The sequence below is a fragment of the Homo sapiens genome, chromosome 22 (assembly GCF_000001405.40).
Source record: "Homo sapiens chromosome 22, GRCh38.p14 Primary Assembly".
Classification (NCBI taxonomy): domain Eukaryota; kingdom Metazoa; phylum Chordata; class Mammalia; order Primates; family Hominidae; genus Homo; species Homo sapiens.
In genome coordinates, this window is record NC_000022.11 from 24,272,979 (window position 1) to 24,290,806 (window position 17,828).

Genomic DNA, 17,828 nt, shown 5'->3' on the forward strand with positions numbered 1-17,828 from the left:
TCACAGGTGCACGTTGGTAGCCAACTAAATAACGTGAGTGTCAAGTACAGTATCTAGTGAGTGGAGAATAACTGTAATAATTACAATTACAGTTGTAGTTAAAGTGAAGTTTGTATCAAAATTTCTGTTTCAAAGGTGAACTTTTAGGAGGTGTATCTGCGGTGTTTCTTCCTCAGATGTGATTTCTCTGAAGCAGTGGTTCTCTATAACTGACTTGACACACAGTGCATCTGATATTTCGAATGACTTAAGTGATAGTATCAAAATTACTATCATATACATATTTAAATCACATGACTAACCTGTGTGTGGTATTATGCAAACTGCTCAGCTCAGTAAGGGAACAGAAATAAGAAAAAAAGGACAATATTGGGAGTCTTTTATACAATTCAATTTATTCAATTGAAGGACTATCTTTTCTTTAAAAAAGTTCTGCTTTCTTGGTGTTAAAATAAAGCATCTTTTATGAAATGATGGTGATAGTAAATGGTGATATATGGTAAACGTAAATAGTAAATGCAAGGGTAGTTATTGTGATTTTTAAAAATAAAGAGAGCCGAGAATCTCTTGTTTTCCTGCTGCTGTTAGGGAGTTCAGGAAAAAGTTCCTGGGGCTTTTGCTGTTAAGAAGATTCAAATATAGAGTATTTCTTAAGAGTAAATATGAGTTTATTTTGAGATCATTGGTCACAGTCTACTGAGAAATCCACTGAGAAAGCTGTTAAATTTGCATGGCATTAAAGATGTTCCTATTCTGATCATTGTTAAATAGATCTTTTTTATTAGATATAATTGTTTTTGAGACAGTTTCGCTCTTGTTGCCCAGGCTGGAGTCTAATGGCATGATCTCCGCTCACCGCAACCTACGCCTCCCAGGTTCAAGCGATTCTCCTGCCTCAGCCTCCCAAGTAGGTGGGATTACAGGCATGTGCCACCACCCCTGGCTGATTTTGTATTTTTAGTAGAGACAGGGTTTTTCCATGTTGGTCAGGCTGGTCTGGAACTCCCGACCTCAGGTGATCCGCCTGCCTTGGCCTCCCAAAGTGCTGAGATTACAGGCACTAGCCACCTCACCCAGCCCCAGGAGATTTTTTTGTGTTGTGCCAACAAATAAGCCTAGGCAGGGAAATTCTTTCTGGTGGTTGGAATTGTTAGTACTGAATAGACTAGATGCGAGGTAAAGAACCCCCATGGGGTTTTCTGTCAGCTCAGAAATCATTGTGACCTCAGTCTTTTACTGTGAAATAACATGACCATTAGGAAAGTAGCCTTAAACAACGTATTTTGGGTATGTTGAGAGGGAGGGACAATTATGATCTGTTCCAAAGTGAACATAACAGATGATCCCTGTGTCTGTGAAGCCTTTAAAATTTATAGTGCTCTTCTATTAATTTCAAGTAAGATTTAGAGTTATTGTGACATACTCTTAAAAAACCTGCAGTGTATCAAAAGGCACGTTTTTAAAGCATCTTGAAATGAAATTAATAATGTAATATCTACTTCTTCAGAATAGTAGTTTTTACATTCTGAAGACTGACTGACTGCTCTCAGCCACTTCTGAGTTCTCTATTTTCAAAGAATAATTTGGTATTCCATAAAGGAAATCTGTAAATAAGAGAAGAGAGTGAATATCTTTTAACAGTGTTTTTCCTGATCTTTTCCAAACATCTTCATTGTGGTTCTGTCCTTTATTTTTTGGTTAAATCCAGAGGTTTACTTCTGCCTGTATCTTTCCAAACTATTAATCTGTTCACAATCACTTTCCCATTTAAACCCTTCAGCAGCCCCAGTACCTTCGTAATAAGGTCTCCTTAGCTTGGTATCCAGAACACTTCAATACTGGGCTTTGACCCCTGTTCTCCTTCCCCTACCTCTGTTTAGGTGCTTCACTGAGCTGCACTGAACAGCTCTTGGCCCCTTGAAATCTCTGCAGTCTCCTTGTCTCCCTCTGCTGGAATATTCTTCTCTCACTTCATCTGATCATTGCCTTCAAAACTCAGCTCATTTTCTTATTTCCTTGCCCTTTTCATGTCCCTTGTTTTCCTCCGATTAAATTAATGTTCCAAACTCAAAAGAAAAACAACTCAGCTCAGGCATCACCTTGCCTGGAAGGCTTCCCTAGTCCTCCTGCCTCCTGCAGACTTGTCTGGCACCCTGTGCATTTGGGATTTGGCACACTATGTCTCGTCTGCGGCCTCCACTGGACAATGAGACCGTAAGTGTGTGGCTTGACAGAAAGTTGTTGACTCTGCTGGGGTGCTGGTACAGTGCTGGGCACGGCAGTGTTACAGAGGAAGTGAGCCACTTAGTTTCTGCCCTTAGGAGCTTTTATTCTAGTTGCACTTGACCCTGACAGCTGTGAGACACCTCCCAGTAGTGCGTACCAACTTTTCAAAGTCTGTTTAATTGTACCTTAGTGTCTGATTCCAATTTTATTTCTTGAAGGAGGGGAGTGTCTCTAATGTCTTATTTTGGCACCCAGAGACCAGGTAGGCATCATTTTTATCCCAAATTGTGGAAGGAATGTACATTTGACACAGATCACTTCCCTTTTTTCTCTTGTACACCTTTCACCTTTTTTTTTTTTTTTTGAGTTTGATGTGTTTGGACAGTAAGGGTTTAAGAGATTAAGATTAAATTTCAACTTTGTCTATTGTGCATATAGCCTAAGGAAAACAAAAAGTTAAAGAGGAAAAATACATTGCCTCTAAAAAGAAGACTCATTATTCAACTTTTTTTATTTTTAGTTGTTTTCAGAGACTGAGTCTCACCCTATCACCCAGGCTGGAGAGGTGATCACAGCTCACCGTAGCCTTGAACTCCTGGGTTCAAGGGTTCCTCTTGCCTTAGTCTTCTCACTAGCTGAGACTGCAGGCCCGCACCAGCACACCTGGCTAATTTTACAAAAATTGTTTTTGAGAGACGTGGTCTTGCCATCTTGCCTAGGCTGGTGTGGAACTCCTGGGTTCAAGCAAACCTCCCGCCTTGGCCACCCTAAGTGTTGGGATTACAGGTGTGACCCATTGTGCCCAGCCTAAACTTTTTTTTTTCAATGCTGAGCTGTACACAGAAGAAAGTAAAGGTCTTGGTCAAGCCTAGGAAAGAAGTATGCAAAGAAACTGGTGGCAGGCTGGATGTGGGCATATTTCAGGGCTTTGGAAGGTGAAGAGGAGAGGACTGCTTGAGGCCGAGAGTTCGAGACCAGCCTGGGCGACATAACGGGACCCTGTCTGTACAGATAAACATTTTATAATTAGCCAGGTGTATGTACCCTAGAACTTAAAGTATAATAAAAAAAAATAAAATTCGCCAGGTGTGGTGGTGCGCACCTGTGGTCTCAGGTACTTGAGAGGCTGAGGCAGGGGGATCTCCTGAGTCCAGGTGTTTGAGGCTGCAGTGAGCTAGGGATCACACCACTGTTCTCCAGCCTGGGCTACGAAGCGAGACTCTGTCTCTAAAGAAAAACATACTGGTGGCATTGTCAAGATTTGTCAAGAAATAGCCATTATGCTGGACCCAGTGGTGCGCACCTGTAGTGCCAGCTTTTCAGGAGGCTGAAGTGGGAGAATCTCTTGAGCCTAGGAGTTTGAGTTCAGCTTGGGCAGCATTGCAAGAGCCCAGTCTCAAAAATATTAGGTCAATAAGGTTTATTTTAATTAAACAAGAAAAAGAAATATCTGCTAAAATTTAAAGCTATTCTATTCTTCCTCTCTCTCTTCTAGTGTTCTTGGGGAAGATCCCGACTAAGCCATTTTCCAGTGGCACCTCTTCCATCATGAGTTCCTGAGGCAGTCCGATGGGGCTACTTTATTCCAGAACAATCACAGTGAGACCTTTTCTCCCAATAAATGCCCCTTTTCTCTCCTTAATATATTCTCTTGCTTACAAAACACTGGTGTCTCCTTATCATGGTTTGGTTCTACCCCACTGGGCCCAAGAATTCTTGCCCAGGAGCAACTGAATTTTCTTCTTGCTTGCTTTTTAAAACTTTGGTGGGGTAGAGCCAATTTTAAATCTTCTGATCCATTTTTTCATTGTTTTTCTCGCCCTTCTGCATTTTCTGCAAATTCTGTTGAATCATTGCAGTTACTTAGGTTTGCTTCGTCTCCCCCATTACAAACTACTTACTGGGTTTTTCAACCCTAGTTCCCTCATTTTTATGATTTATGCTCATTTCTTTGTACACTTCGTCTTGCTCCATCTCCCAACTCATGGCCCCTGGCTTTGGATTATTGTTTTGGTCTTTTATTTTTTGTCTTCTTCTACCTCAACACTTATCTTCCTCTCCCAGTCTCCGGTACCCTATCACCAAGGTTGTCATTAACCTTTCATATTATTCCTCATTATCCATGTATTCATTTGCAAATAAGCGTATATTAACAAAATCACAGGTTTATGGAGATATAATTCACATACCTTAAAATTCAGGCTTTTAAAGTGTACCTTTCATGTGGTTTTTGGTATATTCACAAAGTTATGCATTGATCACCACCATCTGATTCCATAACATGTTCAATACCTCAAAAAGAAGTCTGTACTCATTAGTAGTCATTTCACATTCACCACTCCCTCTGGCTCTGGGCAGTCACTGATCTTTGTGTCTCTATGGATTTGCCTAGTCTAGGTATTTTTATGTAAATGGCATCATACAACATGTGACCTTTTGTTTGGCTTTTTTCATTTAGCAAAATGTTATCAAGGTCTGTCCCTGTTGTAGCATGTATTAGCACTTCATTTCTTATATGCTGAATGATATACTTTATTTGTCCATCAGTTGTTCATGCTTTATTTGTCCATCAGTTGATGAACATTTGCGTTTTTGCCACTTTGGGCTATTAAGAATAATGCTACTGTGAACAAGTGTGTACAAGTTCCTCTACAAATTTTTGTGTGGACATATCCTTTCAGTTCTCTCAGGTGTATATCTGGGAATTGAATTGCTGGGTCGTGTAGTAGCTATGTTAAACACTTTGAGAAACTGCTATAATGTTCTCCAGAGCTGTACCATTTTAAATTCTGTGTATGAGGATTCCACGTTCTCCACTTCCTCACCAGTGTATGGATTTGGGGGTATACTTTTTAAAAAGTGGGATTAGGCTGGGCACAGTGGCTCACACCTGTAATCCCAACACTTCAGGAAGCTGAGGTGGGAGGATCACTTGAGCCTAGTAGTTTGAGACCAGCCTGGGCAACATAGGGAGACCCTGTCTCTACAAAAAATAATTTAAAATAAATTAGCTGGGCGTTGTGGCACACACCTGTAGTCCCAGCTACATGGGAGGCTGAGGTGGAAGGATTCCCTGAGCCCAGAAGTTTGAGGTTGCAGTGAGCCATGATGGCAGCACTATACTGTAGCCTGGGTGTCAGAGCAAGACTCCGTTTCAGGGAAGAAAAAAAAAAGTGGGATGATATTTTTGACACTTTTCTTCTTGTTTTCTTAATTTCATACTTCTGGAAATTCCATTAAATTAGCTGGTACCACTCTAACTCATTGTGTTTCATGGCTGCATAGTAATATTGCATAATATAAATATACCATTCATTCATCAAAGTTAGCAGATATTGACTGTTAGGTGCCAGGCACTGCTCTAAGCGTTAAAGAAAAACACACAAAAACTTTTGCATTCTTAGAGTTTATTTTCCAATGGAGGGGGTGGAGGGAGGTAAGAATTTAGGAAATAAATTAATTACATATATAGCATAGGGTTTCACCAGTGAGTGCAGCTTGAATCGTTGGCAGCTTTCTTAGTAGTATAAATACAGTACTAAAGATGAAATTACTCTAAATGGTGTTACTTAAATTACTGGAATAGGTATTACTATTAGTCACTTTGCAGGTGAAAGTGGAAACACCATCGTAAAATGTAAAATAGGAAACAGCTGGTTAATGTGGATCTGGAGTTTTTCTAGGACATAAACTGATGAGCCAGAAAAGTAAATGTGTCAGTCCTTGGTAGCACAGTTTGTACGTTTATAAATTTTATCCAAATCCTCTTAATCTAGTGATTAATAGACACTCTTCACAAAAGGATGAGGGAGGTATATGTATATGTGTTGAAAGGTTCCGAAGGATGCAACCGAGAGTACTTCGGGGGACGTGGCAAAACTTCCAGGCCCATTCAAGAGTCTTGTTTTCTCCCTGAGCTTTTATGTATTTATTATATTGCCCTATTAATTATTGAGATTGTGCCTTACAGTAAAAGCTGCTTTAAATTGTTGACGCTATAATTTAAAATAATCTGGGTCACCTAGAGTGGTTAAACCTGGAAGAAAAGGATATCCTTCCTGCCAGGGCAGATTGTATGTAGATATGCAACCTGGTTGCGCCTGTGCTGACCTCTACTCTGTTGGGCCTGGAAGTATGCAGTTCAACGTTTCTCTTCTGATTTTTAAAAAAAATTTGACTTTGTTTACTTTTTATTTTATTTTAATTTAGAGACAAGGTTTCACTATTTTGCACAGGCTGGTCTCAAATTCCTGGGCTCAAGTGATCCCCTTGCCTCGGCCTCCCAAATACTGGGATTACAGGCATGAGCCACTGCACCTGGCCTTAACTTTGAAATGAAGTTAGAAATGTACATTTTATTTTTTTAATTATTATTATTATTATTTATTATTTTAGAAACAGGTCTAGCTCTGTTGCCCAGGTTGTAGGGCAACAATGGTGCAATCACAGCTCACTGCAGCCTCCACCTCCTGGGCTCAAGTGATTTTCATGCCTCAGCCTTCCGAGTAGCTGGGATTACAGGCATGTGCCACCATGCCCGGCTAATTTTTTGTATTTTTAGTAGAGACCAGGTTTCACCATGTTGCTCAGGCTGGTCTTCTGACCTCAAGTGATCTGCCCGCCTCAGCCTCCCAAAGTGCTGGGATTATAGGCGTGAGACACCACGCCCAGGTGAACAGAATAGTTTTCCATTCACCACAGTTTGTGACAGTCTCTACATTGTGAAGTGACAAGTTCTCTTCTATTTTCCTTCTGCCCCTCATCACCTTTTTCTTCCTCATTTCTTTTTTGAATTTTGCTGTCTTGAATTGATGTCTAAAGGATGACATAGCAGACAAGGGGACTGACACATGAACTCTCATGAGTTACTGAGGAGTTTCTCAGTGCTCTGTCTGCATCATCTGCTCACTCTCTCCTTCCTAGGTGCTAGCCTGCCAACCTGCTTTGAGAAATTGGAAATGAATTGGGGGGTAATCAGCCTCCCCTTGTACATGTAGGGACCGCATCTCCAATGCCTTGCTTTACATAATGACGAATGGTGTTTTGCTTACCTACTTCCACACAAACTGCTGATATGGTTAGGATTTGGGAAAGGGGAAGAAGGGAATTTTGGGTTTTGAGGAGTAGCTGGGGCTTGAACAAAGAAGAGGTAGTAATGAACATTCCTGGGGTGAGGCAATTAGTTAGCTGAGGGAGAAGAAGGCATATAATAAATTAGGGATTGACAGACTGTCTGTAAAGGGCCAGACAGTAAATGTTTTAGTCATTGAAGACCTTAAGGTCTCTGTTGCATCTAATCAACTCCATCATTGTAGTGCAAAAGTAACCACAGCCACTACAGATGTGAATGAATGTGACTATGTTTCAATAACATTTTTTTTTTTTTTTTTTTTGAGACAGTGTCACTCTGTTGCTCAGGCTGGAGGGCAGCAGTATGACCACAGCTTATTACAGCCCTGACTTCCCAGGCTCAAGTGATCCTCCCACCTCAGCCTTCCAGGTAGCTGGGACTATAGGCATTTGCCACCGCCCCCCATTAGTTTTTGTATTTTTTTGTAGAGGCGGCGTTTCACCATGTTGGCCAGGCTGGTCTTGAACTCCTGAACTTCTGGGCTCACGCTCTCCACCCTACTCGGCCACCGAAAGTGTTGGGATTACAGGCATGAGCCAGTGTCCAGCCCAAAATAGTCTTTTGATTTTTTTTCCCCCAACCATTTAAAAATGCAAAACATTCTTAGTTTTTGGGCTGAAAAAAGACAAGTGATGGGTCAGATTTGGCCCCGGATTGTGGTTTGTTTACCCCTGTTACAGAGGAACAGGAAGCAGAGAGGACTGGTTATAGGGCCTGGGAAGCCAAGCCAGGGAGTTAGACTTAAGGTAGTATGTAAGAGGAAACCATTTTTGTAATGTAATGAAAATTTTAAAGGAAGGATGTTTTGTATTTATATGTGTTCCTGGAAGCATCTGAGTTTTTATTCAAAACATGTTTTCACTATGGAAAATTTCAAACATTTACAAAGTAGAGAGAAAAATGTAGTGAAATACCAAGTGATGTATTTATCACCTACCTTCAACAATTATCAGTCCTAGGTCCTTTGCATTTCTGTGTTTTAGAATCAACTTGTCACATTCTACAAAAAAGCTCCTGGAATTTCTGTTGGGATTGTTTTGATTCTGTAGATAATTTCAGGGGAAGAATTGACTTCTTAATAAAATTGAATCTCCTAACCCATGACCATGGTATACTTCTCAATTTATTTAGTTTTTCTTTAATTTTTCTCAACAATATTTTGTAGTTTTCAGTGTACAAATCTTTCCAGTTTTTTGAAGGGATGTGGTCAGATTTACTTCTATTTCATATATTTTGATACTGTGAATTTCAACTTCCCATTATTCATTGCTAATATATAAAAATAATACTTGGTTTTTGTGTATTAATCTTGTATCCTGAGACCTTAATGTAATTCGTTTTCAAAGCTTTTTGATGGATTCCATTGGCTATTCTGTCAATGTTGTCTGTGAATAAAGACAGTTGTACTTTTTTCTTCCCACTCTGAATGCCTTTTATTTGTTTTTCCTTCCTTTACTGCACTGGCTAGAACTTCTAAGTACATAATGAATAGAAGTGTAACTGCCCAATGGGTTCACCTTGCCCATTGCCTAGACAGAGCGGAATCATCAAGACGGGAATTGTAATAGAGAAAGAGTAATTCAGGCAGAGCCTGCTGGGTGGGAGACTGGAGTTTTATGATTACTCAAATCAGTCTCCCTGAGCATTTGAGGAGCAGAGTTTTTAAGGACAGCTTGGTAGGTGGGGGGAAGCCGATGGGCCAGGAGTGCTGATTGGTCAGGGGTGAAATCAAAAGGAGTTGAAACTTTCTTCTTGAGCTGAGTCCGTTCCTGGGTGGGGGCCACAAGATCAGATGAGCCAGTTAATCGATCTGGATGGTGCCAGCTGATCCATCAAGTGCAGGGTCTGCAAAATTTCTCAAGCACTGATCTCAAGAGCAGTTTAGGGAGGGTCAGAATCTTTAGCCTTCAGCTGCGTGACTCCTAAACCATAATTTCTAATCTTGTGTCTAATGTGAGTCCTACGAAGGCAGTCTGGTGCCCAGGCAAGAAGGAGGTCTGCTTTGGGAAAGGGCTGTTACCATCTTTGTTTTAAACTATAAACTATAAGTTTCTCCCGAAGTTAGTTCAGTCTACACCCAGGAATGAGCAAGGACAACTGGGAGGTTAGAAGCAAGATGGAGTCAGTTAAGTTAGATCTCTCACTGTCTCAGTCATAATTTTGTAAAGGCAGTTTCAATCGTGGTAAAAGTGGATTTCCTTGTCTCATTTTTGATCCTATGGGGAAAATATTCAGTCTTACGTCATTCAGTATGATATTAGCTACAGGTATTTCATATATGCTGTTTGTCAGGTTTAGTAGGTTATCCTCTGTGTGGAGTTTTGTATTTTTTTAATAAGGAATGAATGTTGGGTTTTGTTTAGTGTTTTTCTGTGTGTATTGAGAAGATCATACAGCTTTTCTGTTTTAGTTTACAATGTGGTGAGTTACATTGAGTTTTGAATTTTTTTTTTTTTTTTTAAGACGGGGTCGCACCCTGTCACCCAGGCTGGAGTGCAGTGGCATAATCCCAGCTTACTGCAACCTCTGCCTCCTGGGTGCAAGCAATTCTCCTGCCGTAGCCTCCCAAATAGCTGTGATTACAGGTGTGCACCACCATGCCTGGCTAATTTTTGTATTATTAGTAGAGGCGGGGTTTCACCATGTTGGCCAGGCTGGTCTCGAACTCTTGACCTCAGGTGATCCACCCACCTCATCCTCCCAAAGTGCTGGGATTACAGGCGTGAGTCACTGTGCCTGGCCGATAACTTTGTTTTTTTTTGAGATGGGGTCTTGTACTGCTGCCCAGGCTGGAGTGCAGTAGTTCTACCTCGGCTCACTGCAAGCTCCTCTTCCTGGGTTCACACCATTCTCCTGCGTCAGCCTCAGGAGTAGCTGGGACTACTGGCGCTGGCCACCATGCCCGGCTAATTTTTTGTCTTTTTAGTAGATATGGGGTTTCACCGTGTTAGCCAGGATGGTCTCGATCTCCTGACCTGGTGATCCGCCCACCTCGGCCTCCCAAAGTGCTGGGATTACAGGCGTGAGCCACCGCGCCCAGCCTGCCTTGCCGATTTTTGAATGTTAAACTAACCTTGCATTTGTGGGATAAACCCTACTTGGTTATGATATATTATCCTTTTTTTCTAGATTGTTAGACTCAATTTGCTAAAATTTTGTTTGTAATTTTTACATTTATTTTCACGAGAGATATGGGTCTGTAGGTTTCTTTTTTTGTAATGTCTTTGTCAGATTTTGGTATCAAAGTAATGCTGGCTTCATAGAATGAGTTGAGAAATATTCTTCTCAGTTTTCTGGAAGAGTTTGTAAAGAATTTGTTTTATTTCTTCTTTAGTGGAATTCCTGAGTGAATGCATCTACGCCTGGGGTTTTCTTTGTAGGAAAGTTTTTAACTACAAATCCAATTTCTTCAATAACTATAGAGCTATTCAAGTTATTTATCACTGTTTGAGCTTCGATAGTTTGTCTTTCAAGAAATTCATTTATTTTATGATAGTTTGTCTTTCAAGAAATTCATTTATTTTATCTAGGTTCTTGAATTTACTGGCATAAAGTGGTTTCTAACAGTCTCTTATTTTCCTCTGATAGCTGTAGAATCTGTAGTGTTGTTACCCTTTCCATTCTTAATGCTGGTAATTTGTGTCCTCTCTTTTTTATGAGTGTGGCTAGAGGTTTATCAGTTTTCTTGATCCTCTCAACCCATTTTTTGTTTCATTGATCTCTGTTTTACGTTTTCTATTTCATTGATTTTTGCTTAGATGTTTATTCTTTTCTTCTCCATACTTTGTGTTTCATTGCTCTTCTTTTTCATGTTTCTTAAAGTAGGAGCTGATTTGAGTCTTTTCTTCTTTTCCAACATAGGTGTTTAGTGTTATAAATTTCCCTTTACTGCTTTAAGTTTTTAAAGGTAATTTAAGGATAGCCCACAAATTTTGATATGTTATGTTTTCATTTTAAGTTCAAAACACATTCTGATTTCCCTTTTGGTTTCTTCTTTAGTTCATAGACGTAGAAGTATGTGAGTTCCCAAGTATTTCAGAATTTTCCAGAGATATTCCATTATTTTGTAATTTAATTAATAGAGAATCTTTTATTTTATTTTATTTTATTTTATTTTGAGACAGAGTCTTGCTCTGTCGCCCAGGCTGGAGTGCAGTGGCGTGATCTCGGCTCACTGCAAGCTCTGCCTCCCGGGTTCATGCCATTCTCCTGCCTCAGCCTCCCGAGTAGCTGGGACTACAGGCACCCACTACCACATCCGGCTAATTTTTTTGTATTTTTAGTAGAGACGGGATTTCACCGCGTTAGCCAGGATGGTCTCGATCTCCTGACCTCGTGTTCTGCCTGCCTTGGCCTCTGAAAGTGCTGGGATTACATGCGTGAACCACAACACCCAGCTGAGAATCTTTAAAATTAAAAACACCACCACAATACTATTATCCCATCTTTAAAAAGCAACAGTTCAGAAAGAAGGAGGACAATTTGAAAGAATACAGAAAGGATCAGAGAGATCGGTGTCAGTCAAGAAAGCCTGATAAAAGGCCAGTGGAGTGACTCATGCAGAGTAGAGGGAGTGGATGAGAAGAGAAAGGGAGAGACACATAGTCACCAGGGACAATCAAAGGAAAAGTAAGTGTAATTTTGTAGTTGATTGAAGAGGAAGATGGAGGAAGGTAAAAGAAAGCTGTGTTGAATTAAACTCTAGAGTGATCAAAGCTGTGGTGGTTAGGATTGGAAGAGGGTGGCACACACTTAGATTGGGTGACAAAGTTTGTAGTTGTCTAGAAGAACCTCTGAAGTTTCTCTGCTTAAGTCGGAGTGGAAGCAGCCCTGGGGATTGTAGTGGAAAGGGAGAGCTATATGTCTACTAGTACTGTGACAAGATAGAAGAAAGTAAGTTTAGGATAAAGGGAAATTTGTCCTTCTGGTTGTAGTGGGAAGGAAAGGAGATGGATGCTTACTGTAATTCTGTGGGCTGAGCATTTTCCTTGTTAGTTTCCACACATCGTTTGATGTGGTTCTTATAGCATCCTATGTGTTAGCTGTTTCTACTTAAAGATGAAAGACCGAAATTTGGAGATGAGTAATATGCCCAGAGCCAGATAACTAATAAGTAGTGGAGTTGTTAGCATTTGAACGCATATTCTACCCAACCAGTCTGAGTTCTTTCCACTTGGTATGTAAATTCATGAATACAAGCCAGCAAATGTCCCAGGCTGCTCCTATTCAAAGAGCTGCCTTCTGTGTATCACGTGGTCTATGTTAAGTGTTATGATCTAAAACAATACTGCTGTTTTTTTTTTTGTTGTTTTGTTTTGTTTTTTTTGAGACGGAGTCTTGCTCTGTCGCCCAGGCTGGAGTGCAGTGTCGCGGTCTCAGCTCACTGCGACCTCCGCTTCCTGGGTTCAAGTGATTCTCCTGCCTCAGCCTTGAGTAGCTGGGATTACAGGCACCCACCACCAAGCCCGGCTAATTTTTGTATTTTTGGTAGAGACGGGGTTTCACTATGTTGGCCAGGCTAATCTTGAACTCCTGACCTCATGATCCGCCCGCCTCAGCCTCCCAAAGTTCTGGGATTACAGGCGTGAGCTACCGCGCCTGGCGCGCTGTTCTTTTTTGAAAAGAAAATCTTGATTTTGTGTTTTGAAGTCCTTAAAAGCGATTGTTTATTTAAGCTAAAATAATCAAGTTACTCATTTATTCAGTAAATCAGATTCGACAGGCAACATTCTCAGAGGCATGTATATGTGTGTAGGGCTTTGGTGATTTTTTGGTGATGTTTGTAACCTAGAATATAGTTTCGAAGGCTTAGATTTAAGACTTCCATCTGATAAAGTGGGGGTAAGCTGCAGTGAAATCTGCATGGTAGTCTATTCTTGACACTTGCTGTTAGTAGTAACCTTTTACTGAAAGTCAAAGTTTGCTTATGTCTTACAGTACTGTTCTGAAAGTTTACTTTTTAAAAATGAGAATGAAATATTGGGAAGAAACATCATAGTTATTTTACATATTCTGTTTTTTTAGTACCTGATTGGTTATGTTATATTGACATTCTCGCATGTAATTACACTTTATTGCTTGAACTTGCAATACATTGCTCCTGAGATAAAGACATAGGTGAAGCTTATCCTAAGTTGGTAACAGCAAAATTATTGTATTAATAATTGAGTCATATGGTGTGTTTCGGCATTTTAACAAGGAAGTATGGACCATGACATTTTGAATTTGAAAGGAAGTACTTTTTACTGCTTTCCTCTTTTTCTGTCTTATATCTTTGTCCTACCACTAAGAAGTGAGTAAAGTTCTAGACTCAGTTATAGGATATCTTAATAACAGGCCGTGAACTGTGTCACTGATTAACTGACCTATCTAGTAAGAGTTAGGATTTACTTCTGACATTCATGTACTTTTTGCAGTAATTCAGGCTATTCACATCATAGCTTTGCTTTTGTCTGTTTTTCAAGTAAGAGGCTGAGGCAGAAGAATCATTTGAACCCTGCAGGCAGAGGTTACAGTGAGCTGAGATCGCGCCACTGCACTCCAGCCTGGGCTACAAAGCGAGACCCTGTCTCCAAAAAAATGAAAATTAAAAATAAGTAAATGTGAATTTCAGATAAATAGTGATGACTTTTTTGGTCTAAGTATACCCTAAATGTTGTCTGGATAAAAGACACTTAGGTGAGTGCTGTGGCCAGAAAGGTAAGAGGGATGGGGGGCCAACCAACTAGAGACAAGGGAAGGTATCACTAAGGACACGGCAGTGGAGCTGAGTCCTGAAGTGATGCACGAGCAGTTATTTCTCAGGGAGGAAAGTGGTAAGGGGTTTTCAGGGGTAGGAACAGTAGGAGCCAAAGTGTGGGTATGTGAGAGTGTGTGACTATGTGTGCACGTAAAATGGAAATGAGATGGAGGGATGGGTTGGAGCCTGGATTTGAAGAAGCAGGTATCGGCGCTGGGGTATTTGGCCTGGGACAGTGAGGCATTATTTTACAGGAGAGTGGCCTGGTGGGATGTGTGCTTTAGAGTGTGGACACACAGCTGTGGCACAGAAGGATTGCTGGCAGGGGAGGGCGACAGGAGGCTGCCAGAGTTGTCCAGCTGGACTTCTTCCCTGACACAGACAGGCTGGCATAGGATTGGTGTGGTAGTGGGGATGGGAAGGAGGGAATGCCGCGAGGTCAGGAACTTCTTCCAGTCGCCAAGAGGCGTCTTGACCGTTTAAAAATGTCTCTGAAGATTTAGCACACCAAGGCCCCCTATAGTCCCAGGGTATAGGCCACCCTTGAGATTAGAAAGAAACCCCTGGGAGCTGTGGTGGGGTGGATGTGGCTGTTGGAGGTGCCCCTATTCAGACTCCTGCTCTACCATTTGCTTCGGGATCACCTTTTACAGTGGATCTGATATTATAATACCCACTTCTTATGATGTAAAGGAACTGAATGAGTGTGGAATCCCTAGGACCCCGCTGGAATATAATGGGCCCTCGGGGTTTAGTTTCTTTCCTTCTTGCCGGTGAGGTTTGAGAGGGACTGGAGAACAGTGGATTTCGACCATCCATTTGGGGTTGTCAGTCTGTGCCAGGCCAGCTGGAAACTACAAAAAGGAGGTACAGGTAAGCAATAAGGCCCTGTGGTTCATCTCAGATTTCATTCCGGGAGATCAGAGAGAGCCCTTCCTGGAACTGTATCCTTTCCTGGGGAATATGGGTGGAAATCCAAGGGCCCTGTGCATAGATTTTCCCTTCTCTTTCAGCTCTGCCAGCTGCCAGAACTGTGGCTTTCTCAGCAGATTGTCTGTACACATGAGACCTTTTTTACGGAACGATTTACAGAAAGACAAACCCTTCCTTCCAAGTTTAACCAGTCCCCTTATACCAAGGTTTCCCAGCCTTGACTGTATTGATATTTTAGGCTGTATAATTCTTTGTCGTGGGGGGCTGTCCAGTGTGTTGTAGGGAGTTTACTAGGATTCCTGGCCTCTTACACACTCACTGTCTGTAGCACCTTGCCTCCCACCCAGTTGTGACAACGAAAAATGTGTACAGGAAGTGCCAAATATCCCCTAGGGTACAAAATTGTCCCCTACCCCTCATTAAGTACCACTGCTTTATACTCACTAGACACAGGGAAAAAGAACTTCTTAGCATTTTTTATTAATTTCTTTTTAACCTAACCAGTGAAATGCTTGTTGAAAAAAAGACTTAGTTTTTACTACACTGAATTTGAATTCTATTTTAACTTATTTAGTTTAGAAAGACTTCTCAAATCCAAAATTTTAAGCTTTTTTTTTTTTTTTTTTTTTTTTTTTTTGGACATATCCTTGCTCTGTTGCCCAGGCTGGAGTGCAATGGCGTGATCTTGGCTCACTGCAACTTCTGCCTCCTGGGTTCAAGCGATTCTCCTGCCTCAGCTTCCTCAGTAGCTGGAATTACAGGTGTCTGCCACCACACTTGGCTAATTTTTGTACTTTTAGTAGAGACGGGTTTTCACCATGTTGGTCAGGCTGGTCTTGAACTCCTGACCTTGTGATCCGCCTGCCTTGGCCTCCCAAAGTGCTGGGATTACAGGCGTGAGCCATTGCTCCCAGCCAATTATAAGCTTTTTAGAAAGGATTTTTTACATTGTTATATTTGAACCATTAATGAAGTGCAAAATGAAATGTTTCATTTAGTATTTCACATCAGAGGTTGTTATAAATGTACAAATAGATTGATGTTTTGAATTAAAACTATGGCTGACAGTTAATTTTATCGATACCAAATTGTGCAAGTTTAAACTGCCTGCCAAGAGTCTGAGCATAAAGCTGTGGTTTGAAAGGATCCTGAATAAACGTTTTCTTTTTGTAAATATTCAGAAACTTTGGCTAAGGAGGTAGTGGCCAGAGGAGACGCAAAATTTTTTGCATTCTGGCAGTTTGAACTTTGGGAACGAATGTGTTTTGGACTAAATCTGGAAAAATCACTTATGTACTGTTGCCAGACATTCTTTTAGGCTGTCCTTTTCCAGGCTTGTCACTTGTCTGGAATGTTAAGTGTTGTCAGTAGTTTAACGTCCTTTCCAGCAGCTTGCATTAAAGTGAGAGAAGATCTCCAGAAATGGATCTGAAGAGGTCTTGGCATAAGATTAGGACTTTTATTTCATTATTTTTTAAAAAGTAGAAAGAAGGAGAAGACTTACATGGTTCTAAGTTTAAAAAAATCCAGGAAGCTTCTAATCGTTTCTAATTATTTTCTTGGGTTAAGCCTCATAGAATAATAGAAATCATAAGTTAGTGTGAGTGAGCTTTTCGTTGGCCAAAACAAGTGGGAATACAGTTGTGCTGTTTAGTGGCCATTTGAGTTGGTATTACTGATAACTACCTCCTTTTTTTTTTTTTTTAGCATCCTATGTGTAGTTGTGGTTGGTCTAGCATCCTATATGTAGTTGTGCTTGCTTTCCTCTCTAACCAAAGTTTGTTTTTCCTTTCTGTCCACGTGGGGTTATTATGAGAATCAGTGCCCTAGTATTTGTGCAGTGTGGGCTTTCCACATTGTCTGGCTGGTGCTTTCCAGGCAGCTTACTTTCATAGTTAAACGACAATGGCAACATCAACAAAGTGTCTCTGCCTCCTCATTACCCCCGGCTCTCTCCCCTTCACACATTTTTGAGATGTTCTTTATCCTTTTCTTTCCTACTCAGCTTTTTATTCCACTCCACTGCAGCATGACTTGGCCTCCATCCCTCCACTGGGGATTCATTGGCCCTGCTCACCATCACCTCCTTATCTTGATTAAAGTGGCCACTCAGGCGTGACTGAGCAGTCTTTCTCCTGTGGATTCACCTTGAGACTTTCTTAACTGGTTGGACAGGCAGAAAGGAGGGAATTGTGAGAAGAACTGGGTTAAAGCAGAAAGGAGCTGCATTTTCCTTCCGTGGCCATGAGGCTGTTTAAGGGGGAGTGCCTACCTGGAGTGGGGAGAGGACATAGAGTACAGTTTCTTTCGTCCTGGAGTTGGAGGTAGAAACAGGGGAGGTAGATCTGGATGCCATCTTTCCTCATAAGTCATAACCGATATCGTTGATTCCTGGAAATGGGAAACTACCCTGTTAAATGTACTACATGTTACAATTTTAGGCATAGTATAAAATCTGTCTTTAAAAATTAAGAAAGTACTGTCTTATAAAAACAAGCATTTAAAAGTTGTGCCTCAGTCAGTAAGCATTGAAGTTTTTTGAGCAGTACTGGACTTCTGTCTGGATTCAGACTGAGCAGAGAATCACATATCTGAAGGCATCTTACCCCTGCTTCTCTCTCCCTCCTGTCTGTTTCATGCACCTTGAATATATGCCAACTTGCACATGTGCAGTTTTTTGACATGACAAGGCTCAGACTTTCCCTCTTAGTAGTCCTTGACTTTTTCAGTGGAGTCTCACTCCAAGTCTTTAAAATGTGTACATAAAATGCACCTTTCTGAATGTGTGTCATAATTCAC

At 41.0% G+C, this 17,828-nt stretch overlaps 1 protein-coding gene and 1 long non-coding RNA gene across 4 annotated transcripts in view, besides 2 other annotated features; both read left to right on the plus strand.

The window, feature by feature from the left end:
* SPECC1L-ADORA2A (SPECC1L-ADORA2A readthrough (NMD candidate)) overlaps positions 1-17,828 on the plus strand; it is a 171,544-nt gene that overhangs the window by 2,162 nt on the left and 151,554 nt on the right. The window contains 1 exon segment of the long non-coding RNA NR_103546.1: positions 3,722-3,825. This is a non-coding gene — a long non-coding RNA (SPECC1L-ADORA2A readthrough (NMD candidate)).
* SPECC1L (sperm antigen with calponin homology and coiled-coil domains 1 like) overlaps positions 1-17,828 on the plus strand; it is a 146,908-nt gene that overhangs the window by 2,148 nt on the left and 126,932 nt on the right. Inside the window, exon 2 of one of the 3 annotated variants that reach the window (NM_015330.6) lies at positions 3,722-3,825. The exons of the other annotated variants lie outside the window; for them this stretch is intronic. The gene's annotated coding sequence lies outside the window, so the exon portion shown is untranslated. The remainder of the gene's footprint in view (positions 1-3,721; positions 3,826-17,828) is intronic. 3 annotated transcript variants of the gene reach the window in all.
* Positions 2,146-2,195: an enhancer, noted in NCBI's record as "active region_18768". NCBI's record gives its function as "activates an Ori minimal core promoter by ATAC-STARR-seq in GM12878 lymphoblastoid cells {active_cell/tissue: GM12878}" and the evidence as "EXISTENCE:reporter gene assay evidence [ECO:0000049][PMID:35858748]".
* Positions 11,179-11,684: an enhancer, noted in NCBI's record as "H3K27ac hESC enhancer chr22:24680125-24680630 (GRCh37/hg19 assembly coordinates)". NCBI's record gives its function as "activates a minimal SCP1, AML or CMV promoter by ChIP-STARR-seq in naive H9 embryonic stem cells {active_cell/tissue: H9 hESC(naive)}" and the evidence as "EXISTENCE:reporter gene assay evidence [ECO:0000049][PMID:30033119]".